This window comes from Homo sapiens, chromosome 2, assembly GCF_000001405.40.
Source record: "Homo sapiens chromosome 2, GRCh38.p14 Primary Assembly".
In the NCBI taxonomy this organism is placed as follows: Eukaryota; Metazoa; Chordata; class Mammalia; order Primates; family Hominidae; genus Homo; species Homo sapiens.
Genome location: NC_000002.12, coordinates 49,354,104 through 49,370,748, shown reverse-complemented (window position 1 = coordinate 49,370,748; position 16,645 = coordinate 49,354,104). Strand labels below are relative to the sequence as shown.

The 16,645-nt window shown below is 38.4% G+C and overlaps 1 long non-coding RNA gene across 1 annotated transcript in view; it reads right to left on the bottom strand.

Moving 5' to 3' along the window:
* Positions 1–695: 695 nt before the first annotated feature.
* LOC105374595 (uncharacterized) overlaps positions 696–16,645 on the bottom strand; it is a 62,809-nt gene continuing 46,859 nt past the window's right edge. Inside the window, exon 3 of the long non-coding RNA XR_001739461.2 lies at positions 696–905. This is a non-coding gene — a long non-coding RNA (uncharacterized LOC105374595). The remainder of the gene's footprint in view (positions 906–16,645) is intronic.

The following is a 16,645-nucleotide window of genomic DNA, read 5'->3' as shown; positions in this document are numbered from 1 at the left end:
AAAAAAAAGTGGAACCACTTTCAATCTGTACAATGCTTGGCCCCCAGGAGTCATTTCTTCTAAATCTCTTGAGAATATTCCTAAGACAAAAAAAAAAATATTCGATTCACCATTACTGTTAGCAAATCATTTTAGAAATACTCATTGTAGTTAATTTACTATTTGGATGCTGTGGAGGCTACATTGAAGTAAGATGAAAACATAATTTAGGTAAACTTGCTTCTCCAGTCCATCCACCAGGAATCAGTACTCGTGTTAGTTCAAGGTCTCTGGACTTGAGCTCCTTTGAAGGAGAAACTCTGTCTTGTTGGTTTATTTCCTAATGAGAAATTAATGATTGTGTTAGTGTAGATGATTGACATTTGTGTAGAACTGAAGTTTATAAAACATTTCTGTCTCACTGAATATAGAAAAGAAGTCTTGTGCAGCAGATTTGACTATTCCCCTTTTCAAAAGATACAATTAAAATCTCAAGACAAGAAAAAATTTAAAAAACAGAAATGAAAAGCCAGTCTAGCTGGAAAGTGGCTTGAAACCAGAGTTCCCACCCAAATTAAAGCATGCTTCTGTAATGCACAGCTATGTTGGTCTTCCAGTAGAAAAACTTCTACAATCCCCAGGATGTGGGTTAAAAGATAATGACTTTGTTCCCTTTTTGCCTCAAAGGTAATATGTTTGGGGAAGTTAAGACACACCTATCTAGTCTCCGCTTGAATTGTGTGCTTCGTGTCTTAATATTTCTCATGCTTCGCTGTTCTTTCCTTACATCCTTTCCATCTTGGGCTCACCAGCTCCATGGCAAACTGCAGCTGCCTCCGATTTCTTCTTTGTTCCTGGTGTTTTATCTATCCTGCTGAGATGTCACAGCTACTAGTTTCTTGCCATTGATGATTTCTTCGTTATCACTAGAGGGCAACACAGCAGGTAACTACTGAATACTTTGGTAAAGATAACTGGATCATAATGCTCTTCATGGAATATGTTTGTCAAGCCTTTGTAGTTATACTAAGGAAACAATGGTGGGTAACTTTACACAGCGTGGCAGTGCTAACTGTCTGTCTTATTCCTCCTTTGACTCAAGTGAGCCTGGTTCCCTCACGACTAAGTGTCTTAAAGTGCGGGACCTTGCATCCTACAAGATGACAAGATCCATGGCTCAAAATCCCTCTTTGACTTTCCACATATGTGGAGCATTACACAAATCAATCCAAGGAATATGCCTGAGCATTCCAAAACTTCCAGAGATAAACAGGCAAACAAAATACTATCCTTGGATTCTATTCTTAAAAGAATATCACCAGGCCAATGCTAATGTATAGGACTTCAAAAAACTCTAGGAAGCTTAATGATTTAAAGCATCATTTTCAATTTTTTTAAAGTGCCAACGTTTGGATGTTTCTGCAAGCAGGTTTTTGCATTTTGCACAGTCCTAAGCAGCTTGAAATTGAATTAGAGCAGACTTTAGCAAGCCATCATGAAGAATATGTATTTACCAGTTTTAAAAGCTTCCTGGAAGATTTAAGAGGGCAGAAGTATTTCAGTCACAATCCATTAACCCTATTTATCATCCATTGAAAATGTCTAAGTGTGAAACCATTTTCAATCTCCACTAATGTGCCTAGAACTGATATAGCGTATCATACTTAATTTCCACACTGCATTATGTGGTTGTGTTTTGTGTTTGTGCATCCAGAGATGGCAAATCTCACAAATTCAGCACAACTAAAGGTTTCCATTCTTGAACAAAGCAGGAGTCAGCCATGCCAGGTGGCTCCTCTTAGTTTCCTGTCAGTGCACCATATAGCCTCTCTGTCCCAGGGAAGGTGGCTTTGAGAAGAACGTATGCAATGAGTTTACTTTATAAGTGTAACTTCAGCTTTGAAGGATGTATGTTTGCATGTTCTCATTTTGTCTTTTTCCCTTGTTGATTTTGCACAGTGTTTATTGAACATCTCTTATGTGTGAGTGGGTGGCAGTTGGTGCAATAAATAACCTTTACTGAAAATTCATATGTTTTAGGTCCTGTGCTAAGTAGCTTGTGGGCATGGTTTCATTAACTACTCACAACAACTCTATGATTTAAGTAGTGCAAGTATTATTGTCATAATTTTACATGTGAAGGAACTAAGGCTCGGTGAGTTTAAATAATGTGCCCAAGGACATTCATTACTGTGATTCAAACCCAGACTCATCTAACTGGGAAGCTCATCTCTTCTCCCACAAAACAGGAAGAGTTGGAGCAGTAAAGCATCAGACCCTCCATCAAAATGAAACATCTGCAAGTCAGGCATCATTCCTTTGCTGTCCAGGATGTTTGCTCACTCTCCTGTGAAGGCACATGCCAATCAAATAGTGAGATGCCTCTGCTTGGCTTAACTAAGAGAAGTCACCTCATGGCAGTGAAAGTCAAAATGTACTAAAAACCACAGGGAATAAAGTCCTCCCACTGAAACAGCTCCAGTTTAGGTAGGAAATTATAGATGAGTTTGCATTGCACAACTGAGTAGGGTGTGGGGCTGGAAAATTGCCCTCTTGGCATGTGCAGAGCTCAAGCTGTGTTGTCCTGTCCCCAACTTCAATGTATGAGGATTTCCAGAGTGCGATTAATTTTGCCTGAAGCCAATTGGAAGTGGGGGTAAGGAAAGCACTGGGTATAGATCTCTGTGTGGCACTTACTATATTACAGCAGTGTGTGTTCTATCCACTAGCTGTGAATGTTCTGAAGACTAGTCCACTGAATTAACATTATTTTAAAAAACTGCCTTGAGCAAACACACTCTACAGTCTTTCCCTTAGTGGTATTTTTCAAACATCTCAGGACTATTTTTGCTTTGCCTTTGTTCTTGATATTTCCCACGTAAGACTTGGGGGAATAAAGAGGTGGATGCAGCAAGGAACAGGAGGGAGGCATTAAGGAAAGGAAGGTACCAGCAGTGCATCTTGGCAAGCCAAGACCCCATGTGTACTGGAGATGACTAGGCATCCACATTTGTCTATGGATTGCCTACCAGCATGCTATACTAATACATACCAACTCAACTCTGTTTTTATCTAGTTAGAGCCCTCTGGGAGCAGGAGTGTCCCCTTGGCTCTCTGAGGACAAGGATCCATCTTTATTTGGAACAACATTCTCTGTCCTTGGGTCTTCCTCCCCTGAACCACATTAGGATCCTTGCAGAGGTGGTGGAGTTTCCCAGGAAGTGATGGAGGTGGAAGACCTGGGAGGCAGGCAGGCTGGAAAGCATAACCAGTATCCCCCTGTGTGTCCCTGGGCTTTACTATGCTTCCTGAGCCTGTCTTCTTGTTCTGATTTTAATCACACATGGGAGTGGGTAATGCAGTTCACTCCACTGGACTCACAAATGCTCAAGTAGATTATTAGTTTCATGTCTGGAAATTACTGTGTTCACTGAGGTCAGCTGAGACTATGAGCTTTGCTTGCAGAGACAGTGATAAGTCTTAAACAATGAATGACATTCCTGGAGGATGTTCTCAATGCAAAGAGTAAGTGTGCTGATTGTCTTGGTCCTGACATGGTAACACAAAGCTGTGCTGTTCTTGATGGTGGCAATTGATGGTGGCAATTGGGAGGAAACAACACAGATAAGATAAGAGGTATGCTTTGTGCTGAGTTCTAAGTTCCACCCCTTACTTGTGCTGCTTCCTTAACTTGGACTTTTTCCAGACACCTACTAAGGACTGGGGAGAAACAGAGTTATGTGGCTGACAGTTTGTGCTCAAGAATCATACGAACTTGAGTTTAAACACCAGCTCTTCCCTGTATGTGCTACTTTTTGAAGACTCAGTTTCCTTTTCAAAAATACAAGTAGTTCCTACATTTACTTCCTGATACAAAGAAAGTATTCAATACATATTAAAATTTATGGGCTTAGGTCTTTAAATTCCAACTCAACCTTATCTCCCATTGGCTATTTTCTTTACAAAACTACCATCTCTTAAAGTCTATACCAGAACACATAATGATGGAATATGAACCTCAGATTCTCAGACATCTCATTTTTCCCATTCTTATGGTTAGAAAAAATGGGTTGAAGTATTCTGAAAATTGAAATTAGAAACTTTCACATAAATAATTTCTAGCTTCCTTTGAAAAGTCAGAAATTCATAATACTGGCCACTACCATTTCGACACATCAAGTAACACTAAATCAGTAGGTGTGACCCTTCTGAGACAAGTGTGCTCTTCAGTTTGACATAGACCCCATCACCTCTATTGTCTCATGGAAAAGAAGACTCATTGTCAGTTGTCATTTTCATCGGTTTCTTGCTGTTTTGTTTTTTGTTTTTTAACAGAAGATTTCTATTACTTTACGCAGAGCAATTCATTTTTTCATTAGCTCCCATTCTTTAAAATGCCCACTTGGATTTTGATTGGAATTGCATAGATAGGTCAATTTGGAAAGAATTGATATCTTAACAGTATCTTGTAATTGACAAATATGGTATATCTCTCTACTTTGTAAGTGGTCCTTAAATTCTCTCAGCAATATTTTATAGTTTTCATTATAGAGATTTTGCACATATTTTGTTGTTTGTTAAAAATCTAATATTTGCTATTTGCTATTATAAGAACCTTATTTGCCAATTGTTTGTTCATTTATGTATATTGTAACATCAAATTCACTTACTAATTTTCATAACTTTGAGATATTCTTTAATATTTTCCATATGAAAGAACATATAGAAAATATGTTTCTAATCCTTACACCTTTCCTTGCCTTATTATACAGGCTGGAATATCCAAGATAATACTAGATAAAATGGTTAAGGGTGGCCATTGTTGCTTTTTCCCAGTCTTAGTGAAAAGCATTCAATATATCCACAGATCCCTTTTATTAAATGGATAAAGTTCTTTTGGTTTTTAATTTGCTGGAAACTTTTATCCCAAGTGACTTTTGTAACATGCTTTTACTGCTTCTATTGAGACAATAATAAGATTTTTTTTCTCCTTTATTCTATTAACTTAGATTAGTGTTGACTAATGATTAATGTTGAAATTTTTGTATTATTAGAAGTTTTTGTATCTTAGATCCATCCACTTGATAGATCGTGACATTTTACCTTTTTATATATTGTTGGATTCAATTTTCTAAGATTTTTAAGATTTTTTATTATGTTTATAAAAGATACTGATTTCTTTTAATGCCTTTGACAGTTTTTGGTATAATAAAAAATATGGGTAAGTATTCCTTTTTTCCTTTATCTGAAGAGTTTAAGATTTCTATTCTTTATATGTTTGATGAAGTTTACTAATGAAATCATGTTATATTACATGGGAAGTTATAGTAACAGGAAAGGTTTTGATTATGGATTCAATTTCATTCCTAAAAATAATAATCATATTTCTGATTTCACCTTTATAAGTATTAGCAAGAAGGACTTTCAAGTAACTTTTCCATTACACCTATGTTATTGAATTTATTGAAAAAGTTATTCACAATATTTTTTACCATCCTTTTATTATGGCTCTGAAATCTGTAGTGGATTCTTTCTTCCATCTCATATGGGCAATCTGTATTTTTCCTCTTTTCTTCCTATTAAGATTTGCTTGGATTTGTGAATTTTGGTAATCTTTTCAAAGTACCAAGTTTTATTTTTGTTGACTTTGTTTATTGTTCTACTTTGTTTTTTGTTCTTATCTTTATTCTCTCTATTCTGATTACTTTGATTTGAATATCCTTTTCTTTCTTAGCTTTCTAATGTACAAATATAGATTATTAATTTTAAACTTATTTTCTTTTGTAAAATATGCATTTATACCTATACACATAGCTCTAAGAACTGCTTAAGCTGCATCACAAATTGTAAAGTTATATTTGCATTATCATTCAGTTTGAAAGTTTTTCTGACTTCCCAAGTGATTTATTCTTTGACTCATTATAGAGGTTTGAGTTATTTAGAAGTGTTTTATAATTTCTAATTACTTGATAAATTTACAAGTATCTTATTGCTATTAATTTTTAATTTAATTACATTATGGTTAAAGAACATAGTCTACAAGAATTAATTATCTTCAAGAATGTTGAGACTTTAAAAAAAATGTGTGCTCTTGTGCTCTGTAACTGCTGGGTTTAGTATTCTGAATATGTGAATCAGATCCACTGAGTTGATTGTATTGTTCAGATCCCCTATATCCTTTTGACAATGAATTCTTCTGACTGCTCATCTAACAATTAGTGATAATAGGATATTAAAATTCCCCACCGTGATTATGGATTGACTTATTTCTTCCATTAGTTTTGTCCATTTTTGCTTTAAAAATTTTGAAGTTCTATTTTTAGTTACATATAAATCTATAATTATTTTGTCTTTTCATTGAATTAGCCTCTCTTTATCATTATGAAATGGTCATCTTTATGTGTAATATTCTTTTTCTTTCTTATGCTGTTACATGACATATTATTACTCTTTCAGACCATCTCCATCATTATATTTAAAGTGTTTCCCTTTTATATGTTTGGGCCTTGCTATTTTATCTAGTCTAGCAATATCTAACTTCAACTGGAGTATTTAGTTTACTACATATCAATGTAATATTGTTATGGTCAGATTTAAGTCTAACAATTTGCTAGTTTTTCTATTTATGTCTTTTTTTACACTATTCTTTTTATACTATTTTTACACTATTTTACACTGTTTGAGGCTGTCTTTGAGTTAAGCATCCTTTGTATTCCACTTTATTTCCTATACTGGCTTTTTAGTTTTTAGTAATGTCTCTTTTTATTACTCTTTAGTGGTTGTATTCTTATCAAAGTCTACATAGAATTAATATTGTACCAGTTTATATTTTACTTTCTTCAACTCATCTTTATACCTGGTGATATGGTTTGGCTGTGTCCCGACCCAAATCACAACTTGAAGTATATCTCCCAGAATTCCCACGTGTTGTGGGAGGGACCCAGGGGCAGGTAATTGAATCATGGGGGCTGGTCTTTCCTGTGCTATTCTTGTGATAGTGAATAAGTCTCAGAAGATCCGATGGGTTTATCAGGGGTTTCCACTTTTGCTTCTTCCTCATTTTTCTCTTGCTGCCACCATGTAAGAAGTACTTTTCACCTCCTGCCATAATTCTGAGGCCTTCTCAGACACATGGAACTATAGGTCCAATTAAACCTCTCTTTGTTCCCAGTTTAGGGTATGTCTTTATCAGCAGCATGAAAATGAACTAATACAATAAATTGGTACTAGTAGAGTGGGGTATTGCTGAAAAGATACCCGAAAATGTGGAAGCAACTTTGGAACTGGGTAACAGGCAGAGATTGGAACAGTTTGGAGAACACAGAAGAAGATAGGAAAATGTGGGAAAGTTTGGAACTTCCCAGAGACTTGTTGAATGGCTTTGACAAAAATGCTGATAGCAATATGCACAATAAGGTCCAGGCTGAGGTGGCCTCAGATGGAGATAAGAAACTTGTTGGGAACTGGAGCAAAGGTGACTCTTATTATGTTTTAGCAAAGAGACTGGCAGCATTTTGGCCCTGCCCTACAGATTTGTAGAACTTTGAATTTGAGATAGATGATTTAGGTTATCTGGTGGAAGAAATTTCTAAGCACCAAAGCATTCAAGAGGTGACTTGGGTGCTGTTAAAGGCATTCAGTTTTATAAGGGAAGCAGGGCATAAAAGTTTGGAAAATGTGTAGCCTGACTATACGATAGAAAAGAAAAACCCATTTTCTGGGGAGAAATTCAAGCTGGCTGCAGAAATTTGCAAAAGTACCAAGGAGCCTAGTGTTAATCCCCAAGACCATGGGGAAAATATCTCCAGGCCATGTCAGAGACCTTCACAGCAGCTCCTCCTATCACAGGCCCAGCGGCCCAGGAGGAAAAAGTGGATTCATGGGCCGGGCCCAGGGTCCCCATGCTGTGTGCAGCCTAGGGACTTGGTGCCGTGTGTCACAGCCTCTCCAGCCATGGCTGAAATGGGTGAGTGTACAGCTCAGGCTATGGCTTCATAGTGTGGAAGCCCCAGGCTGTGGTGGCTTATGTGTGGTGTTTGGTCTGTGGGTGCACAGAAGTCAAGAATTGAGGTTTTGGAACCTCTGCCTAGATTTCAGAAGATGTCTGGAAACGCCTGGATGCCCAGGCAAAAGTTTGCTGCAGGAGTTGGACCCTCATGGAGAACCTCTGCTAGGGCAGTGCAGAAGGGAAATGTGGGCTTGGAGCTCCAATCCAGAGTCCCTACTGGGGCACTGCCTAGTGGAGCTATGAAAAGGGGGCCACCGTCCTCCAGACCCCAGAATACTAGATCCCCCGGCAGTTGTACCATGCACCTGGAAAAGCCACAGACACTCAACACAAGCCCATGAAAGCAGGCAGGAGGGAGCTGTACCCTTCAAAGCCACAGGGGTGGAGCTGCTCAAGACCATGGGAACCCACCTCTTATATCAGCATGACCTGGATTTGAGACCTGGAGTCAAAGAAGATCATTTTGAAGCTTTAAAATTTGACTGCCCTGCTGGATTTTGGACTTTCATGGGCCCTGTAACCCCCTTTTTCTGGCCAATTTCTCCCATTTGGAATGGCTATATTTACCCAATACCTGTACCTCCATTGTGTCTAGGAAGTAACTAGCTTGCTTTTGATTTTACAGACTCACAGAAAGAAGGGACTTGCCTTATCTCAGATGAGACTTTGGACTGTGGACTTTTGGGTTAATGCTGAAATGAGATAAGACTTTAGGGGACTGTTAGGGAGACATGATAGGTTTCGAAATGTGAAGATATGAGATTTGGAGGAGCCAGGGGCGGGATGATATGGTTTGGCTGTGTCCCCACCCAAATCTCAACTTGAAGAGTATTGAGCTGCTGCTATTTTTTTGTTTTATTTTGGGGGCCAGGGAGTTAATATTTTTGGCAACTCTCTATGATCCTGTTGAGGTTTGGTTTTAAGTTTCACTAGAGTTGCCCTTATTCTAGGGTGTTCTTACTGCAAAGGGGTGCCCTTTCTGGTGTCTTAGGTAAAAGAATGGATCTTTACAGGATTTTACCATTCTGACTGGGCTAGAGCACTTATTTCTGCCAGCATTGTGTGACCCTTAGTATCATTATTTCACTTTTCACTCCATGTTGGCTGTTCTCTGCTAGTAGTCAAGGGGTCTCACTCCATACCTATGCAGCCCAGGCCTTCACTAAGGTCCTACAGGAAACTCCACGCAATTTCTGTGGTTCCCCCATATACAGAATTCTCTCCTTTCCTATATCTTCCCTGGAAAGTTCCATGGACTTCAGCACTCCTGGGTTCCATATCTGCCTTCTCACCGAAGGAATACCACTCATTAGGTTTTTGCCTGGATTCTACCTCTTGCCAGAATCAGGAAACTAGCCTCAATCAGAAAGCCATGGTGAATGTGAGGCACATTTTTTGTGATGTCCTTCCAGGAATTACAGTCCTTCCTATTGTCAATGTCAGTCCTTTATATTTTGTCCAGTGTTATAGTTTATGGCAGGAGGTCAAGTCCAGAACTAGTTACATTGTGTATGGAACCCCATACATTTTCTTTTTTCTTTTTTTGCTGAAACTCATGCAATATAAATTTTTTGGAATTTCTGTATTTTACAGCACAAATTTATAGCCATGTTCAAAACAGTAATTACAATTGTGTGTGAAATCACACTCTTCATGTATCACACTAACTACAGTAATTAAAAAAATCTGTAGAAAAGACTGACTTGTCTTTTTATTCTCCCAATAGAAAATAATTTAAAACTCATTATCTAATGAACAAGAAAAAGGTGTGAAGTGAAAATGTATAGGAAAAAGAAGCTCCTATAGAACTGTTTTTGGGACTTAATAAAAATATTTTTCTAAAATTGCAAATTCTGAGCTATTAGTTTTTAAAAGTTGCATTATTTTCATTCATGACAGCCCATGAGATTTTATGTTTCATGCCCGCAAAAACTAAATTACAGAAGTCTGAAATATCCTGTAATGATATAAGTAAATTGCTAGAGATCAAGACAACAATGGAATTTGAAATAGTTTAACTTGCTCAAAGTAGCATGCAATGACTTTGGGGTGGGGGAGGTGGGCAGGTGGAATGGGTAGGAAGTGGGAAAAGTGCAAACCAACCAATCTTTATTATTGTACCTCCTTCAGTTTGGAGAAGGTAAATGCTAGAAAAAAAATCTTTGTAAGTCCAACTGAAATCACTGAATGTATCACGTGATAACAATGTGGGGAAAAAGTATCTATTAAAAGACTTCAGAGGAAAGCAATTATCCAAAGTTCAACTTCCAAGAGAAGTTGCATACACACATGTATGTGCACACATCTATACATATATATTCCATCCCCGTTTTTTAAACTAAATAAATTTGGAGAATTAAAACGAACATATAGATTCCCAGCAGTAAAGAAGATTCCCTTCCATCTCCCTCAAATCCCACAAACTGCTGGTTTGAAGAAGGGGAAGGAAAGCAACAGTATTTCCATTATCTGTTAGGCTCAATTAAGACAACAGCTGTGTTCCAAAATAAACAAGGGGAGAGGATATTTTGCATTAGAATACATTAGGGGAACCACACTGGGGAAACACAGATGGCTTTAATTAGGGACACTGGAAAATTACCATTCTCTTCATTTTTCCAGTGTCTGTGTGACTTTCAGGTCTCAAGAACTATATCCCTAATCCCCGTAGCCAATTAGGAATAGAAGTTTTTATCACTGGCTGTGATGATTGTAGCTTTTTAGAGCTAATCTTATAGGAATGGGTGCCTGTTTCTTTTTTGGCAAGTTATAGCATACATGCTTGTTATGTATTGGAGAGAGGGGAAAAAATTGGAGCCAGTTTCTAAAAAGATAGTTGGCAACATAGGTGTCTATGAATAAAGCACTTCTAGGCATTTAAAATGGAATTGAAAATGACACTATATGATATGTTAAGGCCCAAAGCTAACTGGCAAATTGAGATCTAGAAATCTCTGGTTCAACAAGTAACTCATTTTATAAATTCTGTCCTCAGTTTCCATGTTATTCAAATGTCTCTAATTAAAATTGCCCATTCCACAGCATCTCTCATTCCTTCATCAACTTTCTGATGAGAGGATAAGATTCTCTAAGCTCCCCAGAATAGAGCTGAGTACATTCCAAGGAAGAAAAATGAATACAGATAGATATAGAAGTAACAATAATAAAAAGTATACCCATCTGGGTGCTAACACTTTGCCTTTCAATCCTCCCGCTTGGTTGAGTTGGTAAGGGTTCTTGAGGTTCTGGTTATTGTGGGCAACTGTAGGGAGCCATTGGACAGCTACCAAATTTTATCCATGTAGAAGACCCACTGCGTTCAGGGTGAAGCACAGCCTTGCATTTTTACATCACAGTCTACCATGCACGTTGGCATTGAGTGCACTGAAAATCCCCATTCAAATAAAAGCTATGCTTTCCTTATTAGAGTGGCTGTTTGATGAAGTCTTCCGGTGGCACAATTAGATATGCCATGTATAATGTTTAGGGAAAATGTAATTATGATTATTTCCAGTTTTAAGAAAATAGCAAGATCACTAATATCGCAGACAGAAACAACTTGTTTCTGAAGTGTAGCATACAGAGAAATAGGACTTATTAATTTAAAAACTCAATTTGAATTGACCAAAAGCAAATTTAGATAAGTTTTGAGAAATTAATTTTTAAAAATTTACTATGTATACTTGTTTTTAGTATTTAAGTTTTAAGTATTTAGCAAAGATACTTTATAAGATAATTATTATTTTTGGAATGCTAAACCTTTCATAGTAACTAGTGGGTCTGCTATTCCACATATAGTAAAAATACCCCCAAAACCCAGTCTCACCCTTGAGCATCCTCAGGATGACTGGTTTTTTTTTTGTTTTTTTTTTTTTGTTTTCGTTTTTGAGACAGAGTCTCGCTCTGTTGCCCAGGCTGGAGTGCAGTGAGTGGCACAAGCTCGGCTCACTGCAAGCTCCGCCTCCCAGGTTCACGCTATTCTCCTGCCGCAGCCTCCCGAGTAGCTGGGACTACAGGCGCCCGCCACCAGGCCTGGCTATTTTTTTTTGTATTTTTAGTAGAGACTGGGTTTCACTGTGTTAGCCAGGATGGTCTCAATCTCCTGACCTCATGATCCGCGTGCCTCAGCCCCTCAAAGTGCTGGGATTACAGGGGTGAGCCACCGCGCCTGGCGACTGGTTTTAACTGAATATGCACCTTCCTTGAAGATCCTACTTCTCGTACAGCCCTCTCAGTTGTGACCTTAGGCTTCAAAGGTGGAGGCGTCTTCCTTACTCTCTACCACTGCTTTGACCCTCTAATGAAAATTTCTGCTGCTTTGATTTCTAGGCCATACAGCAATACCACTCTGTCCCTTCCTCATTGCTGTCTTTTATCACGTGTTTGATTGTGCTCTTATGAGTTATAGACTTTGGTACTTGGTCCACAGCCCTTCACTCCAAGTCCTGCTATAAATCTGAGCACTTTATCATCCACATGAATTCCCGGTCCAACCCGCTGACCATTCATTTCCTTGACTCCCTCCTCCAGTGACCCACATTGCCACTCCATCTTCAGTGCGCACTCCCTGATCTACCTTAGTCCTTGCTAGACCCTTGAACTATACCATTTTCTAAATAATTTCCATTATTTAGAAATAATGAAAATTATTTCTCCTACCTCATTATTGTTCTTAATCTATTTACTTTTAAACATGATCAAGTGTCCCCCATATAAAGAACAAGTAAACAAAAACCCCTCTTGACATGCCATTTCCCTCCTGATTCATCTAATACCCTGTCTCTCTATTTCCTTGCAGAGTCAAATTTCATAAGGCGTTACATGTACTCACTGCCCATATTCTACTCAAATGTGCTTTCTTTTCTTCATTGTTTCACAAAATGTCTCCATGTCACTGAATCCAGGGGATGTGTCTCAATTCTGATCTTACTTGATATTGCTGATGCTTCATCCTTCTTACAACACTCATTCCTTTGCTTCTGAGATATCTCATTGTCCTTCTTCTTCTCCTATTCACTGCTTATCCCCCTTTTCTGACATCTCCTTCTCTCCTAAGCATTAAATTTTGTAGGTCCTCAGTCCTGTCCAAGATCTTTACTCAGTATCCTCCCCCTACAAGAATATATTTATTCCTTTAGCTTTAATTACCACCAATGCAGGATCCTCACCAATCTTTATATCCAGGCTAGACTACCCCTGCAGTTCGGACCAGTATATTCACCTGCTTACTGTACTTCTACACCTTGATGTCTTCATAAGACTTTATTCTTAAAATGTCCAAAACCAAGTCAATAATCTTTCTGTACCAACTTATCCCACTTTGCACCCTAACTAACTAATTAGTAGAAACTGGACCTCTTCCAGAGTTATTCAGCCTCCTAAGGTGATTCTTACAACTTCCTTCTTTGTTCTGCATCTATTTTCAAATCCTGCCTAGATTACATATTAATTATGTCTCAAATACATATTTTCATGTACATAACCACCATCTTTGCCCTCATACAACCTATCAGTATCTCTTACCTGGACAACTCAATTGCAATAGGGTCCTAACTGATTCACTTTTATAAACTCTTTCTTCCTTTCAGTCAGTTACCCAAGTGATCTTTTTTTCCAAAGGTAAATCTTCTCATGCTTTCCAAATGTTTGAAATACTTAATGATTCCCAATTGTACTGAATGTAGAGACTTAATCCCTTCCCTTTCAGTAGCCAGTGAAATCATACTTCTTTAGTTCTCCTCCGGAAGTGCCCCATGCCTTGAAACCTTCCCTGGCCTCCTTAACATCTCCTTGATCCCTGCAACACATTATAAAGTGGGATTGAAGTAGTTCTAAGCTGAATTTGGCCTAGGTTGATAAGTAAACAATGAGAGAAATCTGACGCCTGACATTTTCCGTTAAATCTGAAAATGCTGCTTGTAGAATTCTCCAGCAGAAAAAGTCCCTGTCTCTTTCAAGTGCCATCACCCTTATTCACCAAGAACAATCACTTGTAATTCCTAGCTTTAGCAGACTGTTTTTTCCCTGCCGGGAAAATATGGTCTTTCTACCCATTTACAATAGAGCTGAGAACAGTCAGCAAAAACATAATGAAGAGATATTTTTGCCTTCAGAAAAGGACAGCAAATATTAAATAGTATTTAGTGGTCACCATTTCAATAAGCTCATTAGAGGTCCCTAGTCTAACTTCTATAGAGTTATGAGGCTATAATAGAAACATTTACCAAAAGTGCTAAGCCATTTTTCACAATGATTTGGTGTCCCCAATACTGAAGAGAATCGTTTTGGAACACATTTTCACAGATCACCTTAATTCAACCTGAACTAAATTCGTTTATGAGAGCTGCTGAGCTATACATCTCAACTTATCTCTGCCTTGAATTTGCCTACGATGGATATCGTTCAAACTGCATGGATCATTGAGCAGAGAAGAACATTTCTGCCCTTCCTTGTCCTTCCTAATAATCAGAAGGAAATTGCAACTTGTTATGTGTTTCCATAACGAAGATTTTAGAAATGGCCTTTGCATATAGCCTAGAAAAAGGCAATATAAATTGGCCTTCTCAGTCCTTTGTGCTTATTGTTGTATCTGTTGAGAGCTGTGACATATGTGACCAACAGGACAGAATCAAACTCGGAGAAGCTGTGAGGTGTAACTAACTCTCTGGACCTAAGACACACTTGCTGAATTTAGCCCCCAAACCAGAACCGTGGAACATGTACTCTGTCTACACTCTGCTGCCTTCAACCGGCATATAAAACCCAGCTTTTTAAAAGGTACTTCAGCTCAAAAGAGCTTTGTATGCCCTTTATAAAGTGAACTGCCTCTCAGGTCTCTGTCCTAGGGTCTTTTCTCATTCAAAACTCTCTTTCATTGCTTCCATCATCTGCTGTTTTCTAAAGATTGCCAAACATAGTTCTTGGTCAGTTCTCACTCCTAGGCTACAGACCAAATCATCCATCTGTCTAATGACAAAAGCATTTGGATGCCACAGAAGCACTTTCAACCTAGTATGTCCAAATTTAAACTGAATATCTTTCCTCTAAACTTGCTCCTTTTTGTTGATTTCCTATATCTGTAGAAGGCACCAACTGTCTACCAACTAGCCTAAGCCAGAACCTGGGTGTATTAGTGAGATATTGCCAAAATGTTGCTGTATGACAACTATTTCTTTTCTTTTCTTTTTTTTTTTTTTTTGAGACAAAGTCTTCCTCTGTTGCCCAGGCTGGAGTGCAGGGCATGAACTCAGCTCACTGTAACCTCTGCCTCCCAGGTTCAAGTGATTCTGCTGCCTCAGCCTCCTGAGTAGCTGAGATTACAGGTGCTACCACCACACCTGGGAAATTTTTGTATTTTTAGCAGAGACAGGGTTTCACCATGTTGGCCTCAAACATCTGACCTCGTGATTTTCACACCTTGGCCTCCCAAAGTGCTAGGATTACAAGCGTGAGCCACCGTGCCCAGCCAGAACAACTATTTCTAAACTCATTGGTTTATACAAGCATTTAATCTCATGCCTGTAGGTCTAAAGGCTGATTTTCATTTGGCTGATCTTGTATGAACTTGGCTGGGCAGCTCTGCTTCATGCTACAGATCAACTAGTGTGGCTCAACTAGTCAAGTCAACTAGTTGGGACCAGGTCTGCTCCACCCATATATCTTCTGGGGCCAAGGCTGAAAGGACAAATGACTACCCTGAGCATTTTCTTCAGATACCAGATTACTGGAGTGCAAGAGCCATGCAAAACTGAACAAAGACATTTAAGGCTTTTGCTCGTATTGCTCTGCTAATATTCCATTGGCCAAAATGAGCCACAGCGCCAAATCGAACATTAATGGGGATGAGAGTAAATATTTCTCTACAAATAATTCAATCTGTCATACTGGGACATCATTATTAAGTATTTCTTCCTCCTTATTTTTAACATATCACCACCTCTACTACCACTATTCCCAATCAATCACTAAGCCCTGTTGATTTTACTTTTAAAGACTGTTAGAATCCATGGTATAGTTCACCACCATCCCTTGTCTTGATTTCTCCAGTAGCTTCCAGCTGGCCTTTCTGGTTCAGGCCTGCCACCAATCCTATCTCCACATTGAAGTTAAAGTAACCATTCTAAAAATCTTTTCTTTTTTCATTCAGCAGTATACATATTTTACCTCCTACCATGTTCCAGGGAGTGTTCTAGATCCTGGGGACATAATAATCAAAAGTCCTTGCCCTCGTGGAGGTACATTTTTAAACTCCTTTTTAACCAGAAGTGGAGTGGAGGTAAATAAACAAATAAATAAATTACATAGTTTATCAAAAGGTGGCAAATACAATTGAGAGGGGAAGTCAGGAGGAGGAGTACAGATAGAGAAGGTTAGGAAGGAAGATTGATCTTAAAATCAGAGGAACATAGAAGGTTTAACTGAGAAGTTGCTATTTCAGCAAAGGCCTGAAGGAAAAGAGTTGGGGAAGGGGCAAGACTGATAGAACACAAGTGCACGGGTGATAACATGAGAGTGTACCTGGCTACAGCACAGTGGGTAGAGGGACAAGTTGTAGAAGATGAGATCAGAGAGCACTGGGGACCATGAAAGATGCAGAATCAAATCTGGCCTCCCAGATCAATAATAATACAAATCATGGTAAAATTCAAATATCTTAGT